The sequence below is a fragment of the Homo sapiens genome, chromosome 8 (assembly GCF_000001405.40).
Source record: "Homo sapiens chromosome 8, GRCh38.p14 Primary Assembly".
Classification (NCBI taxonomy): Eukaryota; Metazoa; Chordata; class Mammalia; order Primates; family Hominidae; genus Homo; species Homo sapiens.
Genome location: NC_000008.11, coordinates 16127690 through 16154836, shown reverse-complemented (window position 1 = coordinate 16154836; position 27147 = coordinate 16127690). Strand labels below are relative to the sequence as shown.

General features: G+C 37.0%; 1 protein-coding gene across 5 annotated transcripts in view; it reads left to right on the top strand.

Moving 5' to 3' along the window:
- The window catches only part of MSR1 (macrophage scavenger receptor 1), an 84771-nt gene that overhangs the window by 37815 nt on the left and 19809 nt on the right, over positions 1–27147 (top strand). For 3 of the 5 annotated variants that reach the window (NM_138716.3, NM_138715.3, NM_001363744.1), the window contains exons 7-8: positions 4526–4606; positions 11226–11279. In NM_138716.3, the coding sequence (NP_619730.1) occupies positions 4526–4606; positions 11226–11279 (135 nt within the window). Of the gene's footprint in view, positions 1–4525; positions 4607–11225; positions 11280–13791; positions 15521–27147 lie in introns of those variants that run through there. The other 2 variants (NM_002445.4, XM_024447161.2) reach the window with 1 other exon arrangement.

Here is a 27147-nt window from a genome sequence, read left to right as displayed (position 1 = left end):
GACTGTTGAAGAAAATAAATGCTTTAACCAGAGTAACCAAATGGAATTGTTTGTAAGTCTAGATAGTGACATGTATATAATAGACAGCAAACAGTATAAGGCAGACCTAACCGTAGATCATATGTGAAGGGGAGTACAACAATTATCTTTGCGTTGAATAAATCATCTTCACATTTGCAAGCTATCTCATTTTTAAGACATAAAAACTCACACTAGTAGTGAGTTATGAATCACAAGCAAATTGGACTATATTTCTTATATAGTATTTGGAATATATCTGTTTAAACTAATGAAATCTGAATGTAAATATTGGCTAAAATATGGATGACACTTACCTTGCTGACAGTCACTCTCTGTGCTTTACTAAGAGCAAAACTGTTTCAAATTATTTTCCTCTAAGTTGTAATCTTGAAAGAAATATTTTGAAAGAAGACACAGAAGAGAGAACATGAACTTTCTTTGCTTGAAAAAATAAAAAAGATAATAACATGATTGTCATGTTAGCCTTGGCTTGAAATCAAATATCCTGCATGCCGTTTGATGGTAGGAAGTATACTGCAAGGTCTAATTATAAGTAGAATGGTTTGTGTTACCAAAACATGTCTAAATACCATGTACTTCATCTTATTTTTCTGTCTTTTGATTATATAAAAGGTTCTTCTTTCTGATCAGTGTATTGACTAGCCCTGGTCACATCAGAAAAATTTTTGAAAATGAGAAGCATGAACTTGATACCTGCCTAAGCACATATATGTATATATATGTATATAAATATATATGGCATATTATATGTGAAGATAGATGATATACATCCAGGTACACATGTTTTATATATATAAAATAGCAATCCTACCCATATATATAATATGCCAAGTCAGGTGGTATTAGTATTGATGTGCTTTTGAATGCCTTGCCAGGAAAGAATTTTTATTCAGGAAAGTCTTTCTACTTGACTAATGCTAATCAGATATTAACAATGCTGCATTAATGTCATAAGCAGAGGAAATAACCAGTATTAAATCTGCTGCCAGAACTACCATTGTCAAGGGTCTATCACCCCCTCCATACAGGCTGCAATTGTCAGAGCTTTATAACTCAACCATAAAAATTCAGTCTGGGCTACATCTTGCCATACAGTGCTTCATCTTGGGAGAATCTTCTGCAGCTGTTTCTGAACTGTGAATGTATGAAATAGAAGGATTTATAAATTTCAGCTTGTGTTAATGTTATAAATAGACACCATTGCAAAGAATCTTTGATTTTGTTTTTTTTTTATTGTAAATTAACGATTTGTCATGGTTTAAATTTACAGGGTAAAAAGTGATGTCATAATTTGTTGCTTTTGGTACTGCTCATTTACACAAATAGGCATTACCCAGTTCCTCATAAAAGACAGGTCGAGTTCCTGGGGTAATCAATGACTCTTCTAGGTTATCAGGTTACCATTTTGTTTGGTGCACTACAAGAAAAGTATTCAAAATACCAGGCATCTTTCCTAATGAATTATTTCTGGATGTCTTGCTGCATTCTGTTCGTTTCTCCACCAGATTGTCTAATTGCCTTATATTTGATGCCGAAATCAGGAAGCAAAGAGTATATGATGGACAATCATACTAATTCTGCTTTCTAATCTGAGCAGGTTTATTGCTTCCCCATCTCTACATCCATTTGAGCCTACTAAACTCAGCTTGACCAAGTCAAACTCACCTAGACTCACAATCATGATGCGAATATCTGCAAAACCTAAGTGGTTGTCCTAGTAGCCTCAAATAACTAATACATTAAATATAGTAGAATTATTATTCATATACTAGGGTGGATATTATGTTTAAATATGCTTTATTCCCCAAATAATAACAAATTTATTTTAGAGGGCTATTTCCTTGAAAGCATGCTAGGGAGAATGACCTATCACTTTTCACTCAAAAACTATGTGCTGAGCACTTTCTCCAGGCCTGGTGTTCTACAATACCCTATAGAGTATGTGTAAACAGATACAGAATCTCTGAATTCACAGCGCTTCCAGGATGATAAGTAGTAATATAAGGGAGGCAAATGTCATGATCAAGGATTTTTTATCTCATGTGAGTTTCTTTTAAGGGGCTGATTTTACCCATGACAACAATGTTTTGAAGGAGAAGCAACTTTCTTTTCTAAAGGAAACTTTGTGTGGGCCATCTAAGAAGCTGTTTATGCCCAATGTGATCAATAACAAGGTAGTTTGACCTGTAGGCATGGGTGGGGCTACCTACATGAGATGCCCTCGAGAGAACTGAAGGCTTCTCTGGCTGCAAACTTTTCATCATCAACCAGTACTATTTACTTCCTTACGTAGTCTGAATTTTCCACCATAGGAATCGTGCTTCCAGAAGAGAAAATAAAGCTCATCTTACCCATAGATATTGGAAGAGAGGAACCATATTTTATTAATGTTTATATCCACGTATATCTTTACCCTGGCCCGCCCCTTCCCATAGGCTATGGCCCCAAGAAGGCCCCTCCCTAAAGCTTCAGCAAGGACAGGATCCTTAAATATACACCTGAGTAAGGAATGTTGCCTGGCTGCAGGCTGTCGCTCTACACCTGAGTATTGAAAGTGGGTTTTTTCTGGAAGTAACAAATTGTGCCAGTGAATCAAAAAATGTCACTGCTAACTGTGTACGTATCATTTAATAAAACTAAATTTAGAAGCCTTTACAACAGGCTGGTAAAAATAATGATTGTATTACTGAGGAGGAGGATGAGGAAGAGGGGGAGGAGAACAAGAAAAGCTAACATTTACAAAGTAGTCATTACATGCCAGGCACTTTTCTAAGTGTTTTACGTGTATGAGCTCTTTTAACTATCACATCAGCCTGATGATGCAGAAACAAATAATACACCCATTTTACAGGTGCAATGCACAGTAAAGTTAAATGACTTGCTTGAGGTCAATCAGCAACTGGTAAGTGGCAAAGCTGGTATTTGAACCCCAATGGGCATGAGTGCAGAGTCCATGCCCTTAACCAGTCTGCTACTTTGCAGGAAGGAGCCTGAATGGAGCAGGACACCTAGGACATGTGAATAATTATCAGACCAGCTTTATGTAAGTGATTTGATCACTCTGGTCTCATGGAACTGTCTCTAAAATGATGGATTCTGACTTGATGATGTCTAACGTCTCTTTGAACATCCCATGGCTGAGATTCCATGTAACTGTACTTATATTGTCCATGAGTTAGAAGCAGGTGCCAGACCCTTTCCCATTGCCACAGATTATTGTAGAAAATTAGTTAATTGCCTCCTGAAAGCCTCAGGGTATCTGATCTTATGGAATAAAGTTCAACAGCTGTGCTTACATTTTGGGGACTACATTTTGAACCATCATTAAACAAACAAGTCACATAACTCCATAGGCCATATAGAGTCTGCTTAACCATCTCCAAGAACAGAGGTCTATGACTGCCTGATTTCTATGAAAGTATCTCATATGCTTCATTTACAGAGTTATTTGTTCATTCATTGAAAATGTACTTGATTTGTAGTTGAACATCCTTGATTTTTAGTTGAACAGCTGTGTTCTGAGCATCACTGTGAGGTACTTGAGAAGTCAGCATTGGAGGGGCTTCTCTGATGCTCTTATGGCCCCAAGATGCTCCTGTCTAAAGCAGGCAACATGGCATTCTCTGCCATGGGATCAAGTGAGACTGGGTGAACGAGTTCTCTCTGAATTGATAATGACAAAATAAGATGCCTAAACTGTTACAATAGTTTATCAAGAACTACTGAACTCTAGGATAAAATATTTTATTTCACTGGAATATAACATTTTCTTTTATATACAGTTGTTATGATCACCATAGTAATATTGGGTAAAAAAAATAGCCATTTTCAGTTTTCATTTAAGCATATGAAACCCTGGATTTGTGTAAGTATATAGTACATACTCATAAGTAAATCTGTGTATCGCATGTGTGTGTGTGTGTGTGTGTGTGTGTGTGTGTGTTTATGTTTATGTTTATTTACCCTGGGATTACAATGAAATATGTAAGAACAGGTCCATGATAGATAAAGTAATATATTTCAGAGCCAAGACACCAATTTATTTTATAAAACACTCGTTGATACTTTACATTGCTTGAGTTGCATTTTTTTCTAAGGCAAATCTTAAGAATTCAATTTTCAGCTTATGCATTTTAAAGTTATTATTTCAGCTACAGCAAGATCCTGCCATTTGATGATTACTGGTTGACTACATAAGTCTTTTGGTTAAAACTCCAAGATCTATTTTTCCTAATGTGCTTTTATTTCTACCAACAATATGTTATTTATTGAATAGCTACAATGTGCTGAATGTACTAAGGTTTATATTTATCGCTTCTATTGTTTTTCAATGTCAAACATTAAATTTTAGGAAAGATATTATTCCTTCATTTGAAGATTCTCTAATTTCATATTCACTTATAAAACTAGATGTTTTCATTATACTCTCAAGTCTGTATGAAAATGAATTATTACCTTCTTTTTTTCTTCGTTAATAATGTAGGTCCTCCGGGTCTTAAAGGTGATCGGGGAGCAATTGGCTTTCCTGGAAGTCGAGGACTCCCAGGATATGCCGGAAGGCCAGGTATTACAATAATGTGTATTTTCTTTATAGAATATGTAGAAGAAACACCAGATAATTTTATATATATATATATATATATATATATATATACACACACACACATACACACACACATAATGTTATATATGTAGTATACATATTTTTAAATTCTTGGATGATAAAAAGTGGTCATTGTGTGAATACTAGTATTCACATGCAGTTATTTTGTGGTCTAGAAATGATTTCTGAAATCAGATTTTTGAAACTGACTTCTGTTCACCCGAGGAAAGTCTCTATATCCCAAAGGAAAATCGTTTAAAAAAACACACAGGAGTTATAAACTCCTCACAATCATAAATCATCACTAACAATGATATCCGTCTTTGAACAAAGAGAGTTGAAAGACTGGCAAAGAAAAAAAAAGAAGCAAAGTGTAAATACCCGTTTAACCACAACTGGCCAGACTTTGTGAAGTTACTGTTAGCAAAATACAGAGAAGTCTGAAATCCTATCCTCTGCAAAATAAATTGTCTGCCATTATCTACTAGTGCTTAAGAATCAAGGTTGCTCAGCATTTTGAAATGTACACACATGATGATATTATTTCCATCAGCTCTGCCAGTAGCCTAAGCTTAAATTGCAAACTTTGAACAGCAATCTTAGAAAGAGCTAGGCTTACTGTCTCCTCATTTCAAAGTGAATTATCATCAAGAGAATAGAGTCGGGCCAAGTGCAGAGGTGAGTACCTGTAGTCCCAGCTATTTGAGACGCTGAGGTGGGAGGATTGCTTAGCTCAGGAGTTTGAGACGAGCCTGAGCAACATAGTGAGGCCCTGTCTCTAAAAAAATAAGAAAAAGAAAAAAAAGGAATAGGGTCCCTATCATTGAGGTATTTTTAAACTACATTTTATTTTTAGAACAGTTTTACATTTATAGAAAAACTGCACAGAAAGCATAGAGAGTTCCCATAAACCACCCATGCACACATGGTCTCCTCTACTATTAACATCTTGCATTAGTGTGGTATATATGTAACCATTAATAAACCAACACTGACATATTATTACCCAAAATCTATAATGTACATTAGTGGCCACTCTTTCTGTTGTACATTTTATGTGTTTCAGCAGATGTATAATGTCATGTATCCATCATTACAGTATTAGACAGAATAGTTTCACTGCCCTAAAGGTCCCCTGTGCTCCACCAACTCTATTCCTCCCCACCACAATCTCTTGGCAGCTGCTGATCTTTTTACTGACTCCATAGTTTTGCCTTTTCCAGAATGTCATATAGTTGGAGTCAGACAGTATGTGGCCTTGTCAGACTGGCTTCTTTCACTTAGCAATATGAATGTAAGGTTTCTCTATATCTTTCCATGGTCTGATTGCTCATTTCTTTTTATTACTCAATAGTATTCCATTTTATGGATTTACCACAATTTGTTTATCCATTCAACTACTGAAGGACGCTTTGGTTGCTTCAAAGTTTTAGGCTGGGCGTGGTGGCTCACACCTGTAATCGTAGCACTTTTGGAGGCCAAGGCAGGCAGATCACTGAGGTGGGCGGATCACTTGAGGTCATCAGTTCAAGACCAGCCTGGCCAACCTGGTGAAACCGTGTCTCTACCAAAAGATACAAAAATTAGCCAGGCATGGTGGCATCCTATTCAGGAGGCTGAGGTGGGAGGATCACTTGAACCCAGGAGGCAGAGGTTGCAATGAACCAAGATCATGCCACTGCACTCCAGCCTGGGTAACAGTGAGACCCTGACTCAAAAAAAAAAGTTTTAGAAATTCTACGTAAAGCAGCTATAAACATTAATGTGCTGGCTTTTCTGTGGACAGGAGTTTACCTAAGAGTGTGATTGTTGGATCAAATGGTAAACCTATGTTTAGCTTTGGAGAGTATTATTTCATTCATTCACCCAGTTCACACAACTTGATGAGGGGTCACTGTGTGCTGGAGATAAATACAGCACAGCTGCTTTTCTTAAGGAGCTGGATACAGAAAAAAAATGCATAAGCAATTAGCTATAATGCCATGTGGTAAGTAAACAACCTTGGTGAGGTTGGACAAATTGCTGTATGGAAGTAGAGAGTAAGGAGTGATTAATTCCATACTGTAAGAAAATGTGTTAGATAGAAAGTAGTGTTTGTTAGCGCTGGACTAAAAGAGGCCTAGAATTTCTTTAGGTTTGTATTTCTAAAACTATTGTAGGTGTTGGAATCACCAGGAGGATGTGTTAAAACAGCTTACAGGACTCCACCCCAGAGTTTCTGATGCAGTAGGTCTGGGATTGGGCTTGCATCCTCACCAATGTCCAGGTGACGGTGATGCTATTGGTCCAGGGACCACATTTTGAAAACCATTATGTTTAGGTGGAAAAAAACAGTGCAGAAAGAGTAATCACGCACAAAGAAAAACAACGGCAGAGGTAATAAGTCCCTTGACAAAACATATCCTTAGGACATCACTTCTTATTAAAAGACACCAATCTGGTAGAGATGTCAGCAGCAGTGCCAGGTGCTGTTCTAGTTGTACTGCAGACTAAAAGAAGGAACAGTACAGTCTCTCCTCTACAAGAGTCTGAAGAAGGTGCTAAAATTAGAAATAAGTCCGATAATTGTCAAATATGAAATAAGTAAAAACAGGTCCGTGATAGATAAAGTAATATATTTCAGAGCTAAGACCCCAATTTGTGATATAAACACTCTTTGATACTTTACATTGCTTGAGTTGTAATTTTTTCACAGCCTGGACTATGTGAATGATATCAAAAACATTATCAGATTCTGAAGCAAAAAGTTCAAAAAGAACATCCTCCATCTATTTTCTTCTATTCTCCCTCCCACACTCCTTTTCTTCTCACCTTGCCCTTTCCTTCTACATGGATTAAGTACACACTGCTCGTAAGGGTACAGTGCTAGAAACAGGGAAATGAAGGGTGAATAAGACAGTCTACAACTGAAAAGATACACAAACATGAGAAGAGAAAGAGAAGACTTCACACTTTCTCCATGCATAGCAGATCTATAGAGTAGTCCATTTATAAGACCTGATATATTTACTTCAGAAAGTTTGGAGGATTTAATTGATGTGAAACCTTGCCCGTCTTCAAAATCCGTAGAAGGTTCTGTTCTACCTTGTTCAACATAGTAGAACTTTCAGCATGCAAATAACGTACTTCTGTCTGTTTTGCCTCTTGAAGTCCATTCAAAGACTTATTGTTTCCCTCAGGGTAAGTTATGGTCATTTTCAGGATTATCTAAAATATTACACCATATGTAGTTCATTTATTAATTCAACACGTTTACTGAACATTTTCTCTCTGTGATTCATGGAGCTATCTACAGACGGTTGAACACATGAGTCTGAAGTTTCGAGTAGAGGCCAGAGATTAAAAGACAAAGTTTATCTATGATTATATAAATATTATTCAGAACCACTGATTTTAATAATATTTTATGGGTAGAGAGTGGAAAGGTACAAAGAGAAGGGGCATAGCATAAAGCTTTAAGTAGTTCCAGAAGTACAGGCTGAGATGAACAAAGTAGCAAATGGAAGAGAAGTAGCCCAACTGAAGAAGAAAACCCAGAGAACAGAGCATGAAAAAAGGCAAACACAGAGTTTCAAAGGTGGTCAAGTAAGGTGAAGTCTACAAAAAGCCCTTTGCACCTGCTGCTGTGGGGATGTTGCCATTGTTCAGAGCAGATTCTGTGGGGTGGGGTGATAACCAGATTAGGGTATGCGGAGAAGGGAATGGTTGATAAGGGTTGGAGATGTGGTAGACTCAACTCTCAAGCTGCCTCACTATGCAGAGGAGGAGGAAGAGATGCATTTTTTGTTAGTTTTGTTTGTTTCATATGGTTTTTTTTTTCTTTGAAGGAAGGATCTGAGTACCACTTAAATGCTTATGGAAAGATAAAATAGAGGAGGAGTGGCTGAAGACAGAGGAAAGCAAAGCAAAAAAGATAGTGTAAGGTTAATGAGTGGTTATAAGGTGAGGAATTCAGGGACCAGGAAGAAGCACAAGGCTTAGGAGAGAGGATGATCACATTTGAAAGTAGCTTGAAAGAAACGGGGGATGGAAAGGCGGCCTACAGCTGCAGAAATTTGGTTAGTGTAATTAAGGCATGTAAGCAGAAATGTCTAACCTAGTATCCGGCTCATATAAGAGGCTCACAAAAAATGCTTGAAATCATGATGATGTTATTGAAGACACCCCCTCTTACATCCTTTCAAGTTAGAATATCCTCCTACATATGACCTGGTTCTTACTTTTGAATGGCTTTTAGAAATATAAGTTACTTTTTATTAAAGAGTAATACATAGGATAGGAGATAGTTAACTCTAGGTTTGGACCAAGCCCTTGCATTCATTTTTAACCAAAGGTATCATTCTGAAGGACCACTACATTCCTCTCCATTAGAAAGGATATTTTTGCTGTTTTCAAGTGTGAGAAAAGATTTTCAAGTATCATCGGTAAGCAAATCTCTGAATCATGTTAAAATGATACAAAACATTTGTTTGTTTTTTTATAAGGAGATAAGGCATTTTATTTTACCATCTTTAAAAGGAAAAGTCACAGTGGTATAAGAACAAAGGCAAAATAAAAACATGAAACTAATTTTTTATTTATCATAGAATCTGAGAGCTACAAGGACCTTTCGTGGGTCAAGCATGTCTCTGGCTTAAGCATGTCTATTCTGAAATATCTAAGACAAGTTGCTGTGTGAAAAGACTTCTAAGAACAATGCATAGTTTCTTTCTCTTTTCTCATTGTGAAGTTAATGTTGAAATAATGAAATTAAGCTTGCTTATTATGTTCTCTTTTATGAAAAGAGTTAGAACTTTGTTTTAACTCCTCCCTTCCCTAATTTTTAACAATTTCTTAGAGCTTTTTCCTCTTGGACAATCTGAAAATTTGGCACTATATTTTATTAAAGCATGCTCTCAAAATATAGGAAAGGTTTTGGGTGCTTTGTGGTAGCAACAATTTTTGCCAATTTAGCAGTACCTGAAACAACTCAATTACAATTAAGAAATGAATTTAATGATATAAAGTATAATCACATTATGCAAAGCAATTAGAGAATTAGAAATTTGATATTATGACCTGATATAAAATGGTTGGCATTTCATTAAATCTTCAAAATACAATTTCAATTGGGAATAATGTTTACTCTTTAAGTGCCTCAAGTCTCATGCTACTGATTGTATATGTTACATTATATATATGTATTTTTTTAGCTGGTAAATTAGGATCCAAAATCTTCTCTAAGAAATACATAATGACACATGTTCAAAATAAAGCACAGATGAAGACAATGTAAACTAGAGAAATCAAAAATAAATATAAACACTAAAATTATATATAATTGTACCATATAAAATGAACTGCGATGAAAAAGTTTTTCTCTCATTCTCTGAGAATAAAATCACAAAGAGAAGATTCCAGCTAAGCTTTAGGAGGTGAAGAATAGGAATAAGAAGAACTAGATCTTTTATGTGTATCTTTTATGGGCAAAGTGCTTAATGAACAGGCAACTCTACAATGAAAAGCGTTATTTTTTTATTTTATAGAAGAATAAACTTTAGCTCAGAAAGATTTAAAGACTTGTCCCAAGTCACATACCCAGTAAGTAGCAGAGCAAAATAACTCAACACAGGGGTTTCTAAATTATTACTATTATTATTTTGAAGTCTATGGTTGTTAAACTACATCCTCTGAGCTCTAGGATGAAAAGGTTGAAGGTTCTCAGTTTTGCTGGAGGGAATCAAAAACATTAACAAAGGTTTTGACTTTGAGACAGAGAGCACTAGGATCAGTTCTAGATTTATGTCAAGGTAGTAATTACTTGAAGATCTGATTGTATCTCATGGCTGTTGGAAAAAAAACTCAATAAGCAGGAACAGCACCAATCTTAAGAGATTTCTTGGTACTAAAGAAAGATCTCCTGCACACCCCTTTAAAAATGGGACAGTGGGTGAAGTAGCAATCCGTTGGCAAAAAAAAAGATCTAGCAATGTTTCTGCATCCATTTGAAGCCCTGACCCTCATATGAAATATTTGTACCACACCCCTGTATAAATGGGTGAGGTTTCTCAAAACCAAAGGTGATCATCCTGGAGATGTGAACGCTCCAAGGATCTTCCTACCTTCCCCATGAGTAAGAATCTCAACACTCCCAGAAAGTCATTGGCAGCCCAGTTTTTGGGGATGGTACACTCTAAAGAAATGAAAACCATAAATGTAATGTGAATATAAGAACGGGATGTGGGAGCTCATGGAAGGCACTGGACTTCCTGGGGGTGTGAGTAAGACCCAGTCAAAGGAAGAGGAGAAAAGGAGGATAAATAAGTACAAAACAAACTCCTTATTCTTCAGCTTTGCTTGATTTAGGAAAATGGGGCATTTAGGGCCTTGTAAATAATTTGAAATATCACAATATTGAGTTCAGAATGGAGCTTCCTAAGTAATAACTATTATTATTGTTAACATTATACAATGTTATTATACATTTCAATATCTGTCCATTCTATTATATTTTAATTACCTTGTGATGATCTGTCTCCAGTTAAAGCAAACATTGTGAATTGCCCTGATTAAAAACAAATATTTTTCTTCTTTTCTCAAGGAAATTCTGGACCAAAAGGCCAGAAAGGGGAAAAGGGGAGTGGAAACACATTAAGTAAGTATATAGTATTTTGTTTTCTGTGTGAATTCTTGTAATAAGTAAGTCTGTGATACTAGAGATCTGGGCTTGAGGCAAATGTTCGCAACTTCAGCACAGATCCATACAGACTCTATGGAAGCCAAACATAATTTTCTACAAATAAGCATGCTAATTGGGGTAAAACAAATAGATTATATTATACAACTCTTTCAATCTCATTATCCATTTGTCTTTTGTTTTTGTGATGAATACTATTTTCTAAAAATTCCACAAAGAAAATTGTTCAATTTTCAAGTCAATTTCTATCCACTAAGGGAAAATCAAGCTTATGCATAGAAACAATTACAACCTCCTTCCTTACTAAATGAAACCTTAAATATAAGAATTTGGACAGTTTAAGAACCCTGAAAAATTAACTATCTGATGTCTGGGGCTCTTCGTTTATTTTTCTAAAAACTTGAAATGTGGTATTCCATGTTCTAAACCTTTAAACCTACAACAGAATAGATTTCACAACAAGAATATTTGTCAATCTACTGCCGACCTCATGTTGCAATATACACAACCTGTTAATTGGACCTTAAATACTAAATATTAGATGAGATGTCTTCTATTTGCCATGCTGTAAGTCAATTGTTGTGTCTAGGCTGAATGTATACTGATATAATGAAAGGATTATGAAGAGGAGTGTGGAATCCCCACTTAACTTCTCAGAATCAGAAGGCTCCTCCCTCCCTCTGTATTCCCAGTAGAAACTACATGTGATGTGTGTGTGTGTCTGTGTGTCCATGGGATAGGTAACACAAACAGGGTGATCATATTTAATCATCAGGGGTCTGTTTTAGGCAGATAATGGCAAATCCTTTTATGTACCAAAATCTGGCAGTTTTTATTTGTAATCATTATCTAGAAATATACAGTAGCAATTTATCTGCCCTACAAAACCTAATTATTTTAACCTAATATTGTGTAGGTATGACATATTTAGACAAAGTAGGGCATGGTTGTGAATACCAGCCATTAGAGTAGTCATTAGTGTAATCATGATGCTTTCAAAGTACAACAGAGTATTGTGTGTCTTCGGAGTACTTTAGTGTTACTTAATGAGTATTACTGTTATATTAAAACAATAGAAACATTAATCTGTCTGTCTTTTCTCCATTCTATCCATTCGTTCTTTAATGTGGTCACTTTTGAATGCTGTATACTTTTTTGTTTTTTTGTTTGTTTGTTTGTTTGTTTTGAGATGGAGTCTCGCTCTGTCGCCAGGATGGAGTGCAGTGGCACCATCTCGGCTCACTGCAACCTCCACCTCCCGGGTTGAAATGATTCTTCTCCCACCTCAGCCTCCTGAGTAGCTGGGATTACAGGCACATGCCACCACACCCAGCTAATTTTTGTTATTTAGTAGATACGGGGTTTCACCATTTTGACCAGGCTGGTCTCGATCCCCTGACCTCATGATCTGCCCACCTCAGCCTCCCAAAGTGCTGGGATTACAGGCATGAGCCACCAAGCCTGGCCCACCTGCTGTGTACTTTTTACTCGACTTACTTCTTTCTTTCTCCTTTTCACTCCATTTACTTTCAGCTGAGTTCCTCTTAAAAAGTTCTCCTTCTTATCCTTATGTTATCTTTATCTCTGCCTTTATTTTATCTTTTGTTTTTATCTCCTTTTCCTGAGGCTTTCTCTGAGCTTCTTAACATTGACTTTAGTCAAGTTTTGCAAATAAGAAACTATTTTTTTTTTATTTTTACACTGCAAACAGCACCCCACTGTCTTCCATTACCTAAGGTTATCAAATGCTTTGAACATTTTCTTCAGATATGTTCAGAAATGTTTTCAGTTACAGTATTTTCATGGCTATTTTGGAGTTTATGCACATGCTTTCTTTGAGGAAGGAGTAAGAGAGATGTTTGTATACAGCCTCTGCATTCTCCACCATGCCCTCCCTCCTCATGCAGAGTATATAACAACTGCATAATGCTTTAAAAACAAAGAATGATATACATAAACATCTAATGTGGTATATTCTGCTTTTCGCTTATGTTAATATGTCAGTCATCTGTCCATATCATTATATATGTCACTACCTCTTTTCTCTCAATGGCTACACATTATTCTATTATTCAGCTACACCATAATCACCATAATATAGCCATTCACTCCTCTAGTCCTGAACACTAAATGATTTTTGTTTGCTTTGGTCAGACTTTAATAAACAATGCTACATTCAACACTCTCACATGTAATCTTGTGGGAATACTTTTTAATAGGGAATTTGCTAGAAGTAGAATCAATGGTTCAAAGGTTACATACATTTTACCATTTGATGAATTATTGTAAATGGCTGCTAAAAGCTTGTACCAATTTATTCTGTATGAAAGTGCCTGATTCCCCACATCTGTAGTTAATGGTGGTATGTGAAAATTTATATTGAATGTTTTCATATGCATCTTTAAAATTTTGTAAGGCTTTCTGAAAATATGTTAAAAATAATTAATTTCCTCCTTTATATATGTGTCAGGACCAGTACAACTCACTGATCATATTAGGGCAGGGCCCTCTTAAGATCAGGTGGGTTGGGCGGGACATCCTCTGCTACCATCTCATTAAAAGGCCCTTCACCTCTGGACAAGTCATCTGCACAACTGACTTCCAAGATCCTTTTGTGACTCCTCCAAATGACTTTGGTTCCCGTGTTGTACCTGACTTCCACATGGCCTTCTCTCCTGGTCCCTGGTGCTGTTTGGGCCTCTGCTCCCATGCTCATACCTCTTCTTACTCCAATTACTCCACCATCACCTCTCTCCCCTATCACCCCCAGCCTGGACACCTCTCATGCACGGACTGGAGGGCTGCTCCAACCAGTCCTCAGTTCTCTGCCACCCATTGACCTAGAGTCTTGAACCCAATTTAATTTATTGGGTTCTAGGAGAACTGCTGTGTTCTCACCCTAACTTGGAAGAGTGATGTTTCAGTCAAGCAAAGCGATTCCTACCATACAATATAACACTTGTGTGAGGCTCTGTCCTAAATATCTCAATTACCAATATGTGGTTTGGTAGTATTTCTCGCCATGCTTTGCTCATGCGCAATGAGACTACAACTAGGGTGTAAATTTTAAGTATCCCATCTAAAACTCATACAATGATAGGAAAAATCCATTTGTTTTTCATTTGATTTTTACTGAGGAATCAGCTCAATCTTCAATGAATACTGGTCTCTTTCCAAAGCATTTTTGATCAAAGTAAAGACTGAGTCAAGGGCTTTTTTTTTTTCTTTTTCTTGTTTTAAGAGACAGAGCCTTGTTCTATTGCACAGGCTGGACTACACGCATTCACCTAGAGTCTAGAACACAATTTAATTTATTGGGTTCTAGGAGAACTGTCATGAGTATTGATAATATGAGAGTTCTTTATATTCAAACATTATTCTCAACCAGAGATAGGGATGTCATAGAAGAAAATCCATTCATTCAATCATTAATTCACATGTCCATTATGTACCTCCATGAGCTGGACATAACAGCTAATAAGAGATAATTGTCTCTGGTTTTACAGAGCTAATTGTCCCTAAGAGATGTAGACAAATGAACAAGCAATTACAATACATCTAAGCTATACTGGGGGAGGAACAGGGCTGGATAGGTATGCAGAGGAGATAAAAAAATTTTAATTCCTTAGAATATTTTTTAAAAATTGATTCTTATTTTACCTTCTCATCTTCTTATTTTCCAAATTACAGCATATATATATATATATATATATATATATATATATATATATATATATATATTTTTTTTTTTTTTTTTTTTTTTTTTTTAAGTTTTGAAGTGTAGTCGAGCTTGGGCAATTTATCCAACCCATTTAAACCAAAAATAAAACTTTTCATGTATTACCTGGTCATTTCAAACAAAAATATTTTGATCATGAAAAAGAATACCAATATTCTTTTGTTCTAAAAATCTCTTATGGGATTACATGTTATATTTTTGGTTTCTCTCTACTGATCAACAGACTACATTTTCACAACTCTTCTTTCCTTTACGTTTTAACACACAGACCCAAGATTCATACTATTAAGATTCTAGTAGAACTCTAGATGGTATGCCTCTGTGTATCTCAGCATTTTTATTCCCACTCTTGTATAATGAACATGTTAACACCTACCTCACAGGGTTGTTGTGAGGATCAAGTAAGATATTGTGTGTGTGAAGATGCTCTGTGAAATCATAAAGTCCTTTAAAGATGTAAGGTATGCTTCGCAGTGATCTCTCTGAACTGGAATAGCTTTTCCCCGCTGGTATAATGCAGACATTTTTAATCTGTAATCAGAATAGGAGTGAAAGCAAAATGAAAATGCAAGAAGCTGAATAAATGTCATGGCAAAAAGAGAGATGCTCGAGAAAAAGAAAAGATTTTATATTAGATAGAGCAATGCAAGTGTGACCAGATTGCAAATCAATGAGTTTGTCTGAGTCGAGCAGAAGAGCATTAGTTATAAATAAAAGAAGCTACTAAACAGAGTGCACGCCGGAGGGCAGAAGGTGTCAACAGAGGTCAAAACAAAATGTCAGGCTAATAAAACAAGAGTCCAGTCTCTGAAGAACAAAGCATGGGCCCAAGACAATGCTGATGAGAAAATTCCAAGAAAGGTTGAAACAAGTTAGAGTTGTCAATGGTACTCTGGTTTTATGCCTACATGACATTAAAATCTCCAGAAATAAAAGGGAGAGAAGAATTAGCCACTTGTTCAGATACTCCTGACTATTAGCAGGCTAGCAACATTGAATAGCCAGTTTACACAAACATCTAGAGATAAGTTGTAACTCCTTTTCCTTGGTTTAATTTTGTGAGACCTCCTGTCCCATTCTGCACTGCAAGTCAGGTAGAGTATGAGCAGCTTTCTTCAGCAGACCTTGGTCTACATCAGCCACACGATGGCCTCGGTCCCAGAGATGCTGGGAGACAATTCCAGGGATTCAGTTAAAAAGTCATCTGACATCCTAGACTAAATATAGATTTTTCAGTGTGAAAAACTAATCCAAACTTTTCAAATTAGGGAAGAAAGTCTTCTCTCTTTAGACAAAAAATGGATGCTGAATGCCCTGTTCAAATTATTGGCACAAATGGCACAAATTTTATCAACTTTAAAAATGCATAATGAAGAGAAAAGAAGCCTTCACTAAGCTCTAACGCTAGTCATAGTGAATCGTCTGTTGTGTTCTCACCTTAACGCGGAAGAGTGATGTTTCAGTCACACGAAATGATTCCTACCATACAATACAACACTTGTGTGAGGCTCTGTCCTAAATATCTCAATTACCAATATGTGGTTTGGTAGTATTTCTCATCATTCTTTGCTCAAGTGCAATGAGACTACAACTAGGATGTGAATTTTGAGTATCCTATCTAAAACTCAAACAACGATAGGAAAAATCCATTTGTTTTTTCATTTGATTTTTACTAAGGACTCAGCTCAATCTTAAATGAATACTAGTCTTTTTCCAAAGCATTGTTGATCAAAGTAAAGCCTGTGAGGCAAGGGCTTTTTTTTTTTTTCCTTTATCTTTTTTTAAGAGACAGAGTCTTGCTCTGTTGCACAGGTTGGACTACAGTGGCACGACCATAGCTCCCTGCAGCTTTAAGCTCCTGGGCTTAAATGATCCTCCCACCTCAGCCTCCTGAGTAGCTAGGACTTTAGGCACACACCACCATGCTTGGCTATTTAAAAAAATAAAAATAAAAATGGGATCTCACTATATTGCCAAGGCTGGTGCAAACTCTTGGCCTCAAGCGATCCTCCTGCCTCAACCTCCCAAAATCTTGGGATTACAGGTGTGAGCCACTACACCCAACCCAACAGGGTTTTTGGTGCATTATACATTAATCCTCAGAAGAGCATTTGGGTGAAGGACTATTATCCCAATTTCTAGAATTATAAACTGTGGCTTACTGCTAATAAGTGGAAGAACAGAAACTCAAAGCCAGGTCTTTAAATCTCCAAAGTCCTTATGACTCCATTCAATATTCCCACACTAGTATTATGTATTTTTATATATATCACAGATATGTCATGTGGAGGGTATGCAAAGAGAAAGAGAGGGAAAGAGAGAAAGAGATAGATAGAGAGAGAGAAAGGCAGAAAAGGAAGAAATTTGTAATGAGCAGTTTGGTTTTCTAGAATGGGCCTAGTAATTTGAAGAGCTAAAGAGATAAAAATTCTTACGGCAGATCAAATTCCAAATAAGCATTCTCAGTTATTCTTTATTTGTTTGTGTTTCCACCTTCATAACTACTCCAGCTATTGCCTCTAGTCTCCCTCCTAAGGATATTACTCAGAAACATAGTCTTCCTAGAATGCTCACAAAGCTTCCATTATCACTAATGAGAGCTACTTATGTGCACCTGGGGAAGAGCTACCTGTTAATATTCTATCTTTATTTTGCTAACGGGCTCAGCCTTAACATTTTTCACTATTATTTGGCTGCTCCAATGTCTCTCTTTTTTTATTGTGTCTTTTTTTTTAACTCCATAATGTACTTTCTTAGTAGCACTAGTTATGAGTTAGCAGAACTGAGTGTACCTGAGTAGGGATGGTTCCAGGTAACTTAGGTAAATGCTGCTCATCCTTGACAGTTACATGGTGTTTAGAGCTTTCTGTGGGTTCACAAATTAGCGGTGGCTCACACGTGTAATCCCAGCGCTTTGGGAGGCCAAGGTGGGTGGATCACAAGGTCAAGAGATTGAGACCATCCTGGCCAACATGGTGAAACCCTGTCTCTACCGAAAATACAAAATTTAGCTGGGTGTGGTTGTGCATGCCTGTAGTCCCAAATACTTGAGAGGCTGAGGCAGGAGAATCGCTTGAACCCAGGAGGCAGAGGTTGCAGTGAGCTGAGATCATGCCACTGCACTCCCGCCTGGAGACAGAGCAATACTCCTTCTCAAAAAAAATGCAGCATTCCATTAACACAATAGATGTGTTCCTTAATAGAGTGTATAGCTAATACAGGCATACTGTGGACATATTGTGGTTTCAGTTCCAGACCAAGGCAAAAAAAAAGCAATTATCACAATGAAACATGCCAGACAAATTTTTTGGTTTCCCAGTGCATATAATAGTTATATTTACACTACACTGGAGTCTATTAAGTGTTCTTTAATTTTTAAAATACTTTATTGCTAAAAAATGCTAACAATCATTTGAACCTTCCGGAAGTTGTTATCTTTTTCTGGTGGAGGGTCTTGCCTCCGTGTTGATGGCTGCTTACTAATCAGCGTGATGGTTGCTGAAGATTGAGGTGGCTGTGGCAATTTCTTAAGACAACAATGAAATATGCCACGTTGATGGAGTCTTCTCCTCATGAGAGATTTCTCTGCTGCATGCAATGGATGCTATTTGATAGCATTGACCCACTTTAGAACTTCTTTCAAAATTAAAATCAGTCTTCTCATACTCTGCTGCTGCTTTGTCAACTAAATCTATATGATACTCTAAATCCTTTGTTGTCGTCTCAACAATGTTCACAGCATCTTCCCTTCAGGAGTAGGTTGTATCTCAAAAAAACCCTTTCTTTGCTCATCCATAAGAAGCAACCCCTAATCCATTCAAGTTTTATCGATTGCAGCAATTCAGCCACATCCTCAGGCTCCACTTCTAATTCTAGTTCTCCACTTCTCTTATTATTTATACCACATCTGTAGTGACTTTCTCCATTAAAGTCTTGAACCCCTCACAGTCATTCATGAGGGTTGGAATCAACTTCTTCCAAATTTCAGTTAACCTCAATACTTTGACCTTCTCCCATGAATTATAAATTATTTTAATGCCATATAGGATTGTGAAACCTTTCCAAAAAGTTTTCAATTTACTTTGCTCAGACACATCAGAGGAATCACTCTCTGTGTCAGTTACAGCCTTACAAGATGTATTTCTTAAGTAATAAGACTTGAAAGTAAAAATTAATCCTGGATCCATGGGCTACACAATGGATATTGTGTTAGCAGGCATGAAAACAACACCAGTCTTTCTGTCCATCTCCATCAGAGCTCTTGGGTGACCAGGTGCACTCTCAATGAGCAGTAATATTTTAAAAGGATTTTTTTTCTCAGCAATAAGTCTCAACAGTAAGATTAAAATATTCAGTAAACCATGCTGTCAACAGACGTGCTGTCACCCAGGCCTCATTGTCCTATTTCTAGAGCACAGGGAGAGGACATTTAGCATAACTCATAAGGGCCCTAGAATTTTCAGAATAGCAAATGAGCATTTCCTTCAACTTAAAGTCACTGGCTGCATTAGCCCCTAACAAGGGAATTAGCCTATACTTCAAAGCTTTGAAGTCAAGCATGAACTCCTCTCTAAGTATGAAAGTTATAGATGGCATCTTTTTCAACAGAAGCTGTTTCATCTACATTGAAAATCTGTTGTGTAGTGTAGTAACCTTCATCAATTATCCTAACTAGATCTTCTGGACAATTTTCTGAAGCTTCTATATCCACACTTGCTAAATCATCTTGTACTTTTATGTTATGGAGATGGCTTCTTTCCTTAAACCTTATGAACCAACCTCTGCTAGCTTCCAACTTTTCTCCTGCAGTTTCCTCACCTTTCTCAGCCTCCATAGAATTGAAGAGAGGTAGAGCCTTGCTCTGGACTTGGATTTGTCTTAAGTGAGTGTCATGGTTATTTTGATCATATATGAAGGCCACTAACTAAAACTTTATATCGGCAATAAGGTGGTTTGTTTTCTTATTATTTTTGTGTTCACTGGAGTGGCACTTTTAATTGCTTTCAAGAACTTTTTCTCACATTTACAACTTAGGTAAATTTCATACTTTCAGCCTGTCTTGACTTTCAACCCGCCTTTCTCACTAAGGTTTATCATGTGTAGCTTTTGATTTAAATGAGAGATGTGCCACTCTTCCTTTCAATGGAACACTTAGAGGCCGTTGTTAAGGTTACTAATTTGTTTAATTTCAATATTGCTGTGTCTCAGGGAATAGGGATGCCTGAGGAGAGGAAGAGAGACAGAAGGGGGAACAGCCAGTTGGTGGAGCAGTCAGAATACACACAACATATATCAACTAAGTTTGCCATCTTTTACGGGCATGGTTTGTGGTTCCCCAAACTAATCACAGTAGTAATCTCAAAGGTCACTGATTGCCATAACAAATGCAAGGGGTCTTCAAAAAATCATGGAAAATATGTATTAGGAAAACACTATACATGGATTTCAAAAATTCTGCACTAAAACAAGCTAGCTTATTATAACATGTCTGAATAGAATCTAATTTGATGCACTAAGAACAATAAGGTATCTATTTAAAAAGAGCCCCTATCAGAGCCACATAAATATTGCTAAAATGGAACCAAGAACACACATGAAATTTATGATGAAACTTGTTTGGAAGAATGGTGAAATCACCGATACTTTATGAAAAGTTTATAGGCACAATGTCCCAAAGGAATCAGCAGTTGACAAAAAGAGAACTCAGTTTTACAAAGGGATAAGAAAATATTGAAGATGAACCCTGCAGCAGCTGACTATCCACGTCAATTTGTGAGGAAAAAAATACATCTTGTTTGTGCCTTAATTGAAAAGAACTGAGACAGCAGAACAACAGCCAACACCACAGACATCTCAACTGGTTTGGCTTGCACAACTGTGACTTAGAAATTAAGGTTGAGTAAAGTTTTTTCTAGATGGGTGCCAAAACTATTGTGTCCAGATCAGCTGCAGACAACAGCAGAGCTTTCAGTGGAAATCTTAAATAAGTGGGGTCAATATCCTGAGGCATTTATTTGAAGAATTATAGGAGAAGATAAAACATGGATTTCCCAGTATAATCCTGAAGACAATGCATAATCAAAGCAATGGCTACCAAGAGGTAGAAGTGTTACAGTCAAAGCAAAAGCAGACCAGTCAAGAACAAAGGTTCTCACAACAGTTTTTGAGGATGCTCAAGTGATTTTTCTTGTTGACTTCCTGGAGGGCCAAAGAATGGTAACCTAGGCTTACTATGAGAGTATTTTGAGAAAGTTATCCAAAGTTTTAACAGTAAACTCCCAGGAAAGCTTCTCCAGGGAGTCTCCATCATGACAATGCTCTTGCTCATTTCTCTCATCAAACTAGGACAATTTTTGGGAGAGTTTCAATGGGAAATCATTGGGCATCTACCTTACAATCTTCATTTGGCTCCTTCTGACTTCTTTTAGCTTCCCACTCTCAAAATATTTTTAAAGGACACCAATTTTTCTTCTTTCAATAATGAGAAGATTACAACATTGATATAGTTAAATTCTTAAGATCCTCAGGTCTTTAGGAATGGACTAAATGGCTAGTATCATCACCTATAAAAGTGTCTTGAACTTGATGGAGCTTATGTTGAGAAGTAAAATTTATATTTTGTGATTTTTACCTTTTAATTGCTTTTTTCCACAAACTGTTTTAATCTCCCCATATTTTACTAATAATGGAAAAGTTTGCAAATCAATAAATGTGATTCACCTCATAAAACTAACAACAAAAACTACATGATGATCTCAATAGATACAGCAAACGCTTCTGATAAAATTCAACACCTCTTCATGTTAAAAACTCTCAATGCAGTAGGTGTTGAAGGAACATATCTCAAAATAATAAGAGCCATCTTTGAAAAACCCACAGCGACATCATATTAAATGGGCAAAACCTGGAAACATTCTGCTTGAAAACCAGCACAAGATAATGATGCCCTCTCCACTACTCCTGTTCAGCATGGTATTGGAAGTCCTGGCCAGAGCAATCAGGCAAGATAAGGAAATATAGGGCATCTACTTTGGGAGGCTGCAGTGGGAAGATCACCTGAGGTAAGGAGTTCCAGACCAGCCTGGCCAAATGGCAAAACCCGTCTGTACTAAAAATACAAAAATCAGCCAGTGTGGTGGTGGGTGCCTGTAGTCCCAGCTACTTGGGGGGCTGAGGCAGGAGAATCACTTGAACCTGGGAGGCAGGGGTTGCAGTGAGCCAAGATCATGCCACTGCACTCCAGCCTGGGTGACAGGGTGAGACTCTGTCTCAAAAAAACAAAACAAAACAAAAAAAGAAATACACAGTATCAAAATAGAAAGAGAAAAAGTCAAACTATCTGTTTGCAGACAACATGATTCTATATCTAGAAAACCCCATAGTCTTGACCCAAAAGCTCTTTCAGCTGATAAACAACTTCAACAAAGTTTCAGGATACAAAATCAGTGTACAAAAATCACTAGCATTTCTGTACACCAATAACAGTCAAGCTGAGAGCCAAATCAGGAATGCAACCCCATTCACAATTGCCACAAAAAGAATAAAATTCCTAGGAATACAGCTAAAAAGGGGAGTGAAGGACTTCTACAAGGAGAACTACAAACCACTGCTCAAAGAAATCCTAGATGACACAAAAAAATAGAAAAACATTCCAAGCTCATGGATAGGAAGAATCGGTATCATTAAAATGGCCACACCACCCAAAGCAATTTATACATTCAATGCTATTCCTCTCAAACTACCAATGACATTCTTCACGTAATTAGAAAAAAAAAAAACCCTATTGTAAAGTGTATATGGAACCAAAGAAGAGCCCAAAGAGCCAAGCCAATTTTAAGAAAAAGAACAAAGCTGGAGATATCATGGTACCTGACTTCAAACTATACTACAGGGGTACAGAACAAAAACAGCATGGTACTAGTACAAAAACAGACACATACACCAATGGAACAGAATAGAGAACCCAGAAACATTGCCAACCATCTACAACTATTTGATCTTTGACAAAGCCGATAAAAACAAGCAATAGGAAAAGGACTCCCTTTTCAATAAATGGTGCTGGGATAACTGATTAGCCATATGCAGAAGACTGAAACTGAACTCTTTCCTTACACCATATACAAAAATCAACTCAAGATGGATTAAAGACTTAAAAGTAAAGCCTAAAACTATAAAAACTCTGAAAGATAACCTATGAAATACCATTCTGAACATAGGACCTGGTAAAGATTTCACGATGAAGATGCCAAAAGCAATTGCATCAAAAATAAAAATTGACAAATGGGTCCTAATTAGAGAGCTGCTGCACCACAAAAAAAAAAAAAAAAAAAAAAAACTATCAACAGAGTAAACAGATACATAGAATGGGAGAAAATATTTGCAAACTATGTATCAAAAAATGTCTAATATCCAGAATCTGTAAGGAACTTAACAAGCAAAAAATAAACCTGACAAAAAATAGGCAAAGGACATGAACAGACAATTTTCAAAGGAAGACGTACACGTGGCCAACAAGCATATGCAAAAATGTTCAACATCACTAATCATTAGAGAAATGCAAACCAAAAGCACAATGAGATACCACCTCACACCTGTCAGAATGGCTGTTTATTAAAAAGTCAAAAAATTACAGATGCTGTGGTGACGAGTTCGTGGAGAAAAGAGAATGCTTATCGTCTGCTCATGGAAATGTAAATTAGTTCAGTTATTGTGGAAAGCACTTTGGTGGTTTATCAAAGAACTTAAAACAGAATTACCATTTGACCCAGCAATCCCATTACTGAGTATATACCCGAAGAATACAAATCGTTCTACCATAAAAACACATACTCTCATATGTTCATCACAGCACTATTCACAATAGCAAAGACATGGAATCAACCTAAATGCCCATCATTGGTAGACTGGATAAAGAAAATGTGGTACATATACACCGTGGAATACCATGCAGCCATACAAAAGAATGAGTCACGTTCTTTGAAGGAATATGGTTGGAACTGGAGGCCATTATCCTTACAAACACACACACAAGCAGAAAACCAAACACTTCATGTTCTCACCTATAAGTGGGGACTGAACTTTGAGTAGATACGGACACAAAGAAGGGAACAACAGACAGTGGGGTCTACTTGAGGGTGGAAGGTGGGAGGAGGGTGAGGATCGAAAAGCTCTCAGCTGCTATGCTTATTACCTCGAAGACAAAATAATCTGTGTCCACCAAATTGCCACGACACGCAATTTACCTATATAACCAACCTTCACAGGTACGCCTGAACCTAATATAAAAGTTTTAAAAAATGAAATAAATCAATTTGTCACCATGTTAATATACTTAAAGATAAAATACAGTGCTCATCTAAGTGGGGGCAGAAGAAAGCATTTGAAACAAAGGAAAAGTTTGAAATGCTGTGAGAATTTGCAAAATGTGACACAAAGACACAAAGCGAGCACATGCTATTGGAAAAATGACACTGACAGACTTGCAGGACACAGAATTACCACAAATTTTCAATCTGTAAAACATGCAGGATCTGTGAAGTGCAATAAAGTGAAGACCAATAAAACAGGATATACCTGTATGTTGTGTCGTTTGAAATAGAGATTTAAATCAATTATGGATCCAGCAGTTAGCACTTGTCCTGCTTAGTCCCTATCCCAGCTGACTCTCACAGCCTCACTCTCACCAGAACCAATTAGAAGGAAAAACATCAGCCCCATTTTTCACAGCAGCAAAAGTGGAAATTCATGCAATTATGTGCAGGAATGCAGATGAAGCAGAGGCCCAACACTCCACTTCCCTTTCCTCCATAGCCTGAGTACCAAGTACCTTTCCTGCCCTTTGAAGAAACAACTCCAGGCTTCCTATTCTGCAGTAAGAAATTTAGCCTGATACTCACACAAGATTATTTATTTTGCTCAAATTCAAGCACTGGACTTGTATGGGCTCACAGCCTATTATTTGCCCCCTTCAGCCGATCGTCTCTGGAAATGTCCTGCCCTTAAGATGTAAATCTTTTTTAGGGCGTGTTGAGGGGATAGTCTCTTTCTGTGACCCAGGCTGGAGTGCAGTGGCATGATCTTGGGTCACTGTAATCTCTGCCTCCTGTCCTCAAGTGATCTTCCCACCTCAGCCTCCCAGGTAGCTGGAACTACAGGCACAGGTCACCACACTCAGCTGTTTTTTAAAATTTTTTGTAGGGAACGGGGTTTTGCTGTCTTGCCCAGGCTGGTCTCTAACTGCTAAACTCAAATGATCTGCCTGCCTTGACCTCCCAAAGTGCTGGGGTTACAGACATAAGCCACGGCACCCAACCTGAGGTGAATCTTAAGACGAGATTTCCTAGAACGACACAGTTGGCTTGTTTCACATGGAGTCTCCAAGAAATTCCCCCATTATGGCTTAGCCTACAGACTCTTAATCCTTTCCCGGATGCTGTAGTTATTTTCATTTTCTACTTCTTACTCATATCCTGCTTAATCCATGCCAAAGTAAAACATTGGACCCTCAGGTATTTTAGGGACCTATATAAAGGAATTCTAATGTGAATTATTTAGCAAAATGACCCATTTCCTAATGACGTTTTATATAATTCTGCATTTTTATTTCCTAGAAAGTTCAAAGAACAAGTAAACCTCTTTAACTGCATACAAATATTCAGTTTCTGTGTACAGTATTTTCACTAAAACTTCATATGATTTACAGCAAAACTTATTTCCCCTATAAAATGATTATGTTTTATTATAAAACATCTTCCACCTCGAACTCTTCCCTGTTGCATTCTCACTTAATCCTGTTACCCAGTACATTACCTGCACCTAGAAATACTATTTCTGCACCAAAAGGACATGTGCTTTATCAATCACAGAGTGTAAGCTAACAAACATATTATTATTATTAACGTATTAAAACATCTAATAGGTCCTTCGTAAGTACTTATGTCATTTTTGAATAAAAATCAGCTTTTAAAGTAGGTGTTTTAGGGACAAAGTGATTATTTTCGGAAAAGAGATTTTCAGTGTGTTCAAATCACAACATAGCAAGTATGGTAGCTTAACTCCACCTATAAATTAAAGAAGCAGCTTGTATTTTTAAGTTTATATGCACTGAAGTATGCTATTTCTCGTTTGCAAGTAAAAACATAACATAAGTGAAAAAAGAAAACGTATTAGTCTGCTTGGGCTGTCAGAACAGAATACCACAGATAAAGTAGCTTAAATTATAGACATTTATTTCCTCAGAGTTCTTGACATTAAAAGCCCATGATCAAGCTGGGGGCAGGATTGGCTTCTCCTGAGGCTTCTCTTTGGCTTGCAGACGGCCCCCTTCTCATTGTGACTTCATGAGGCAGTTTCTGTGTGAGCACTGAGCTCCTGGTGTCTTTATCTCTTCCGATAGGGCACCTGTCCTATCAAGTTAGGATTCTGCCCTTATGACCTAATTGAACCTGAATTACCTCCATATGGCCTCTATCTTTAAATATAGTCACATTGGGGACTTCAGCATACGAATATTGGAGCGACACAATTCAGTACATAATAGGAAGGTATCAAGAATTGATCCTCTGTCTGTGGGCAGGATCTCTGCAGCACACGGCTGGAACTGTTTCAGGATGAATTCAGTTTTCTTTGTCTATGTTTCTGTAACTTTGTTCTTAAAGAGGGCCTAAATTGCACCATAAGTAAATTTGATGCATTCTGGTGTTTTTATAGTTATGAGAACAATTTCACTTTTGTTTACTGCCAATATTGTGTATTTACATTTCAGTGATGTTCTTTTACATTGTCTCATGAGATAATAAAAATTACCAGAATAATGCTGTTTAAACAGACAATAACCAATGGTGATGGGATTAATGACAAACAGGATGACCTGGGCAATCACTTCTAATATTCTTTGACAAATAATCACCATGGAGATATTTGTAAGAACTGTTAAGTGGAAAGTAACAGAAACATCTTTAATCACAAAATAGAGTCTATTGGTTTACATAATTAAGAATTACAATTCCCACAGATGGCTTCAGGCATAGCAGGATCCAGGTGTTCAAAGTAAATCATTTGGACTCAGTCTCGCTCTCTCTTTCTCTT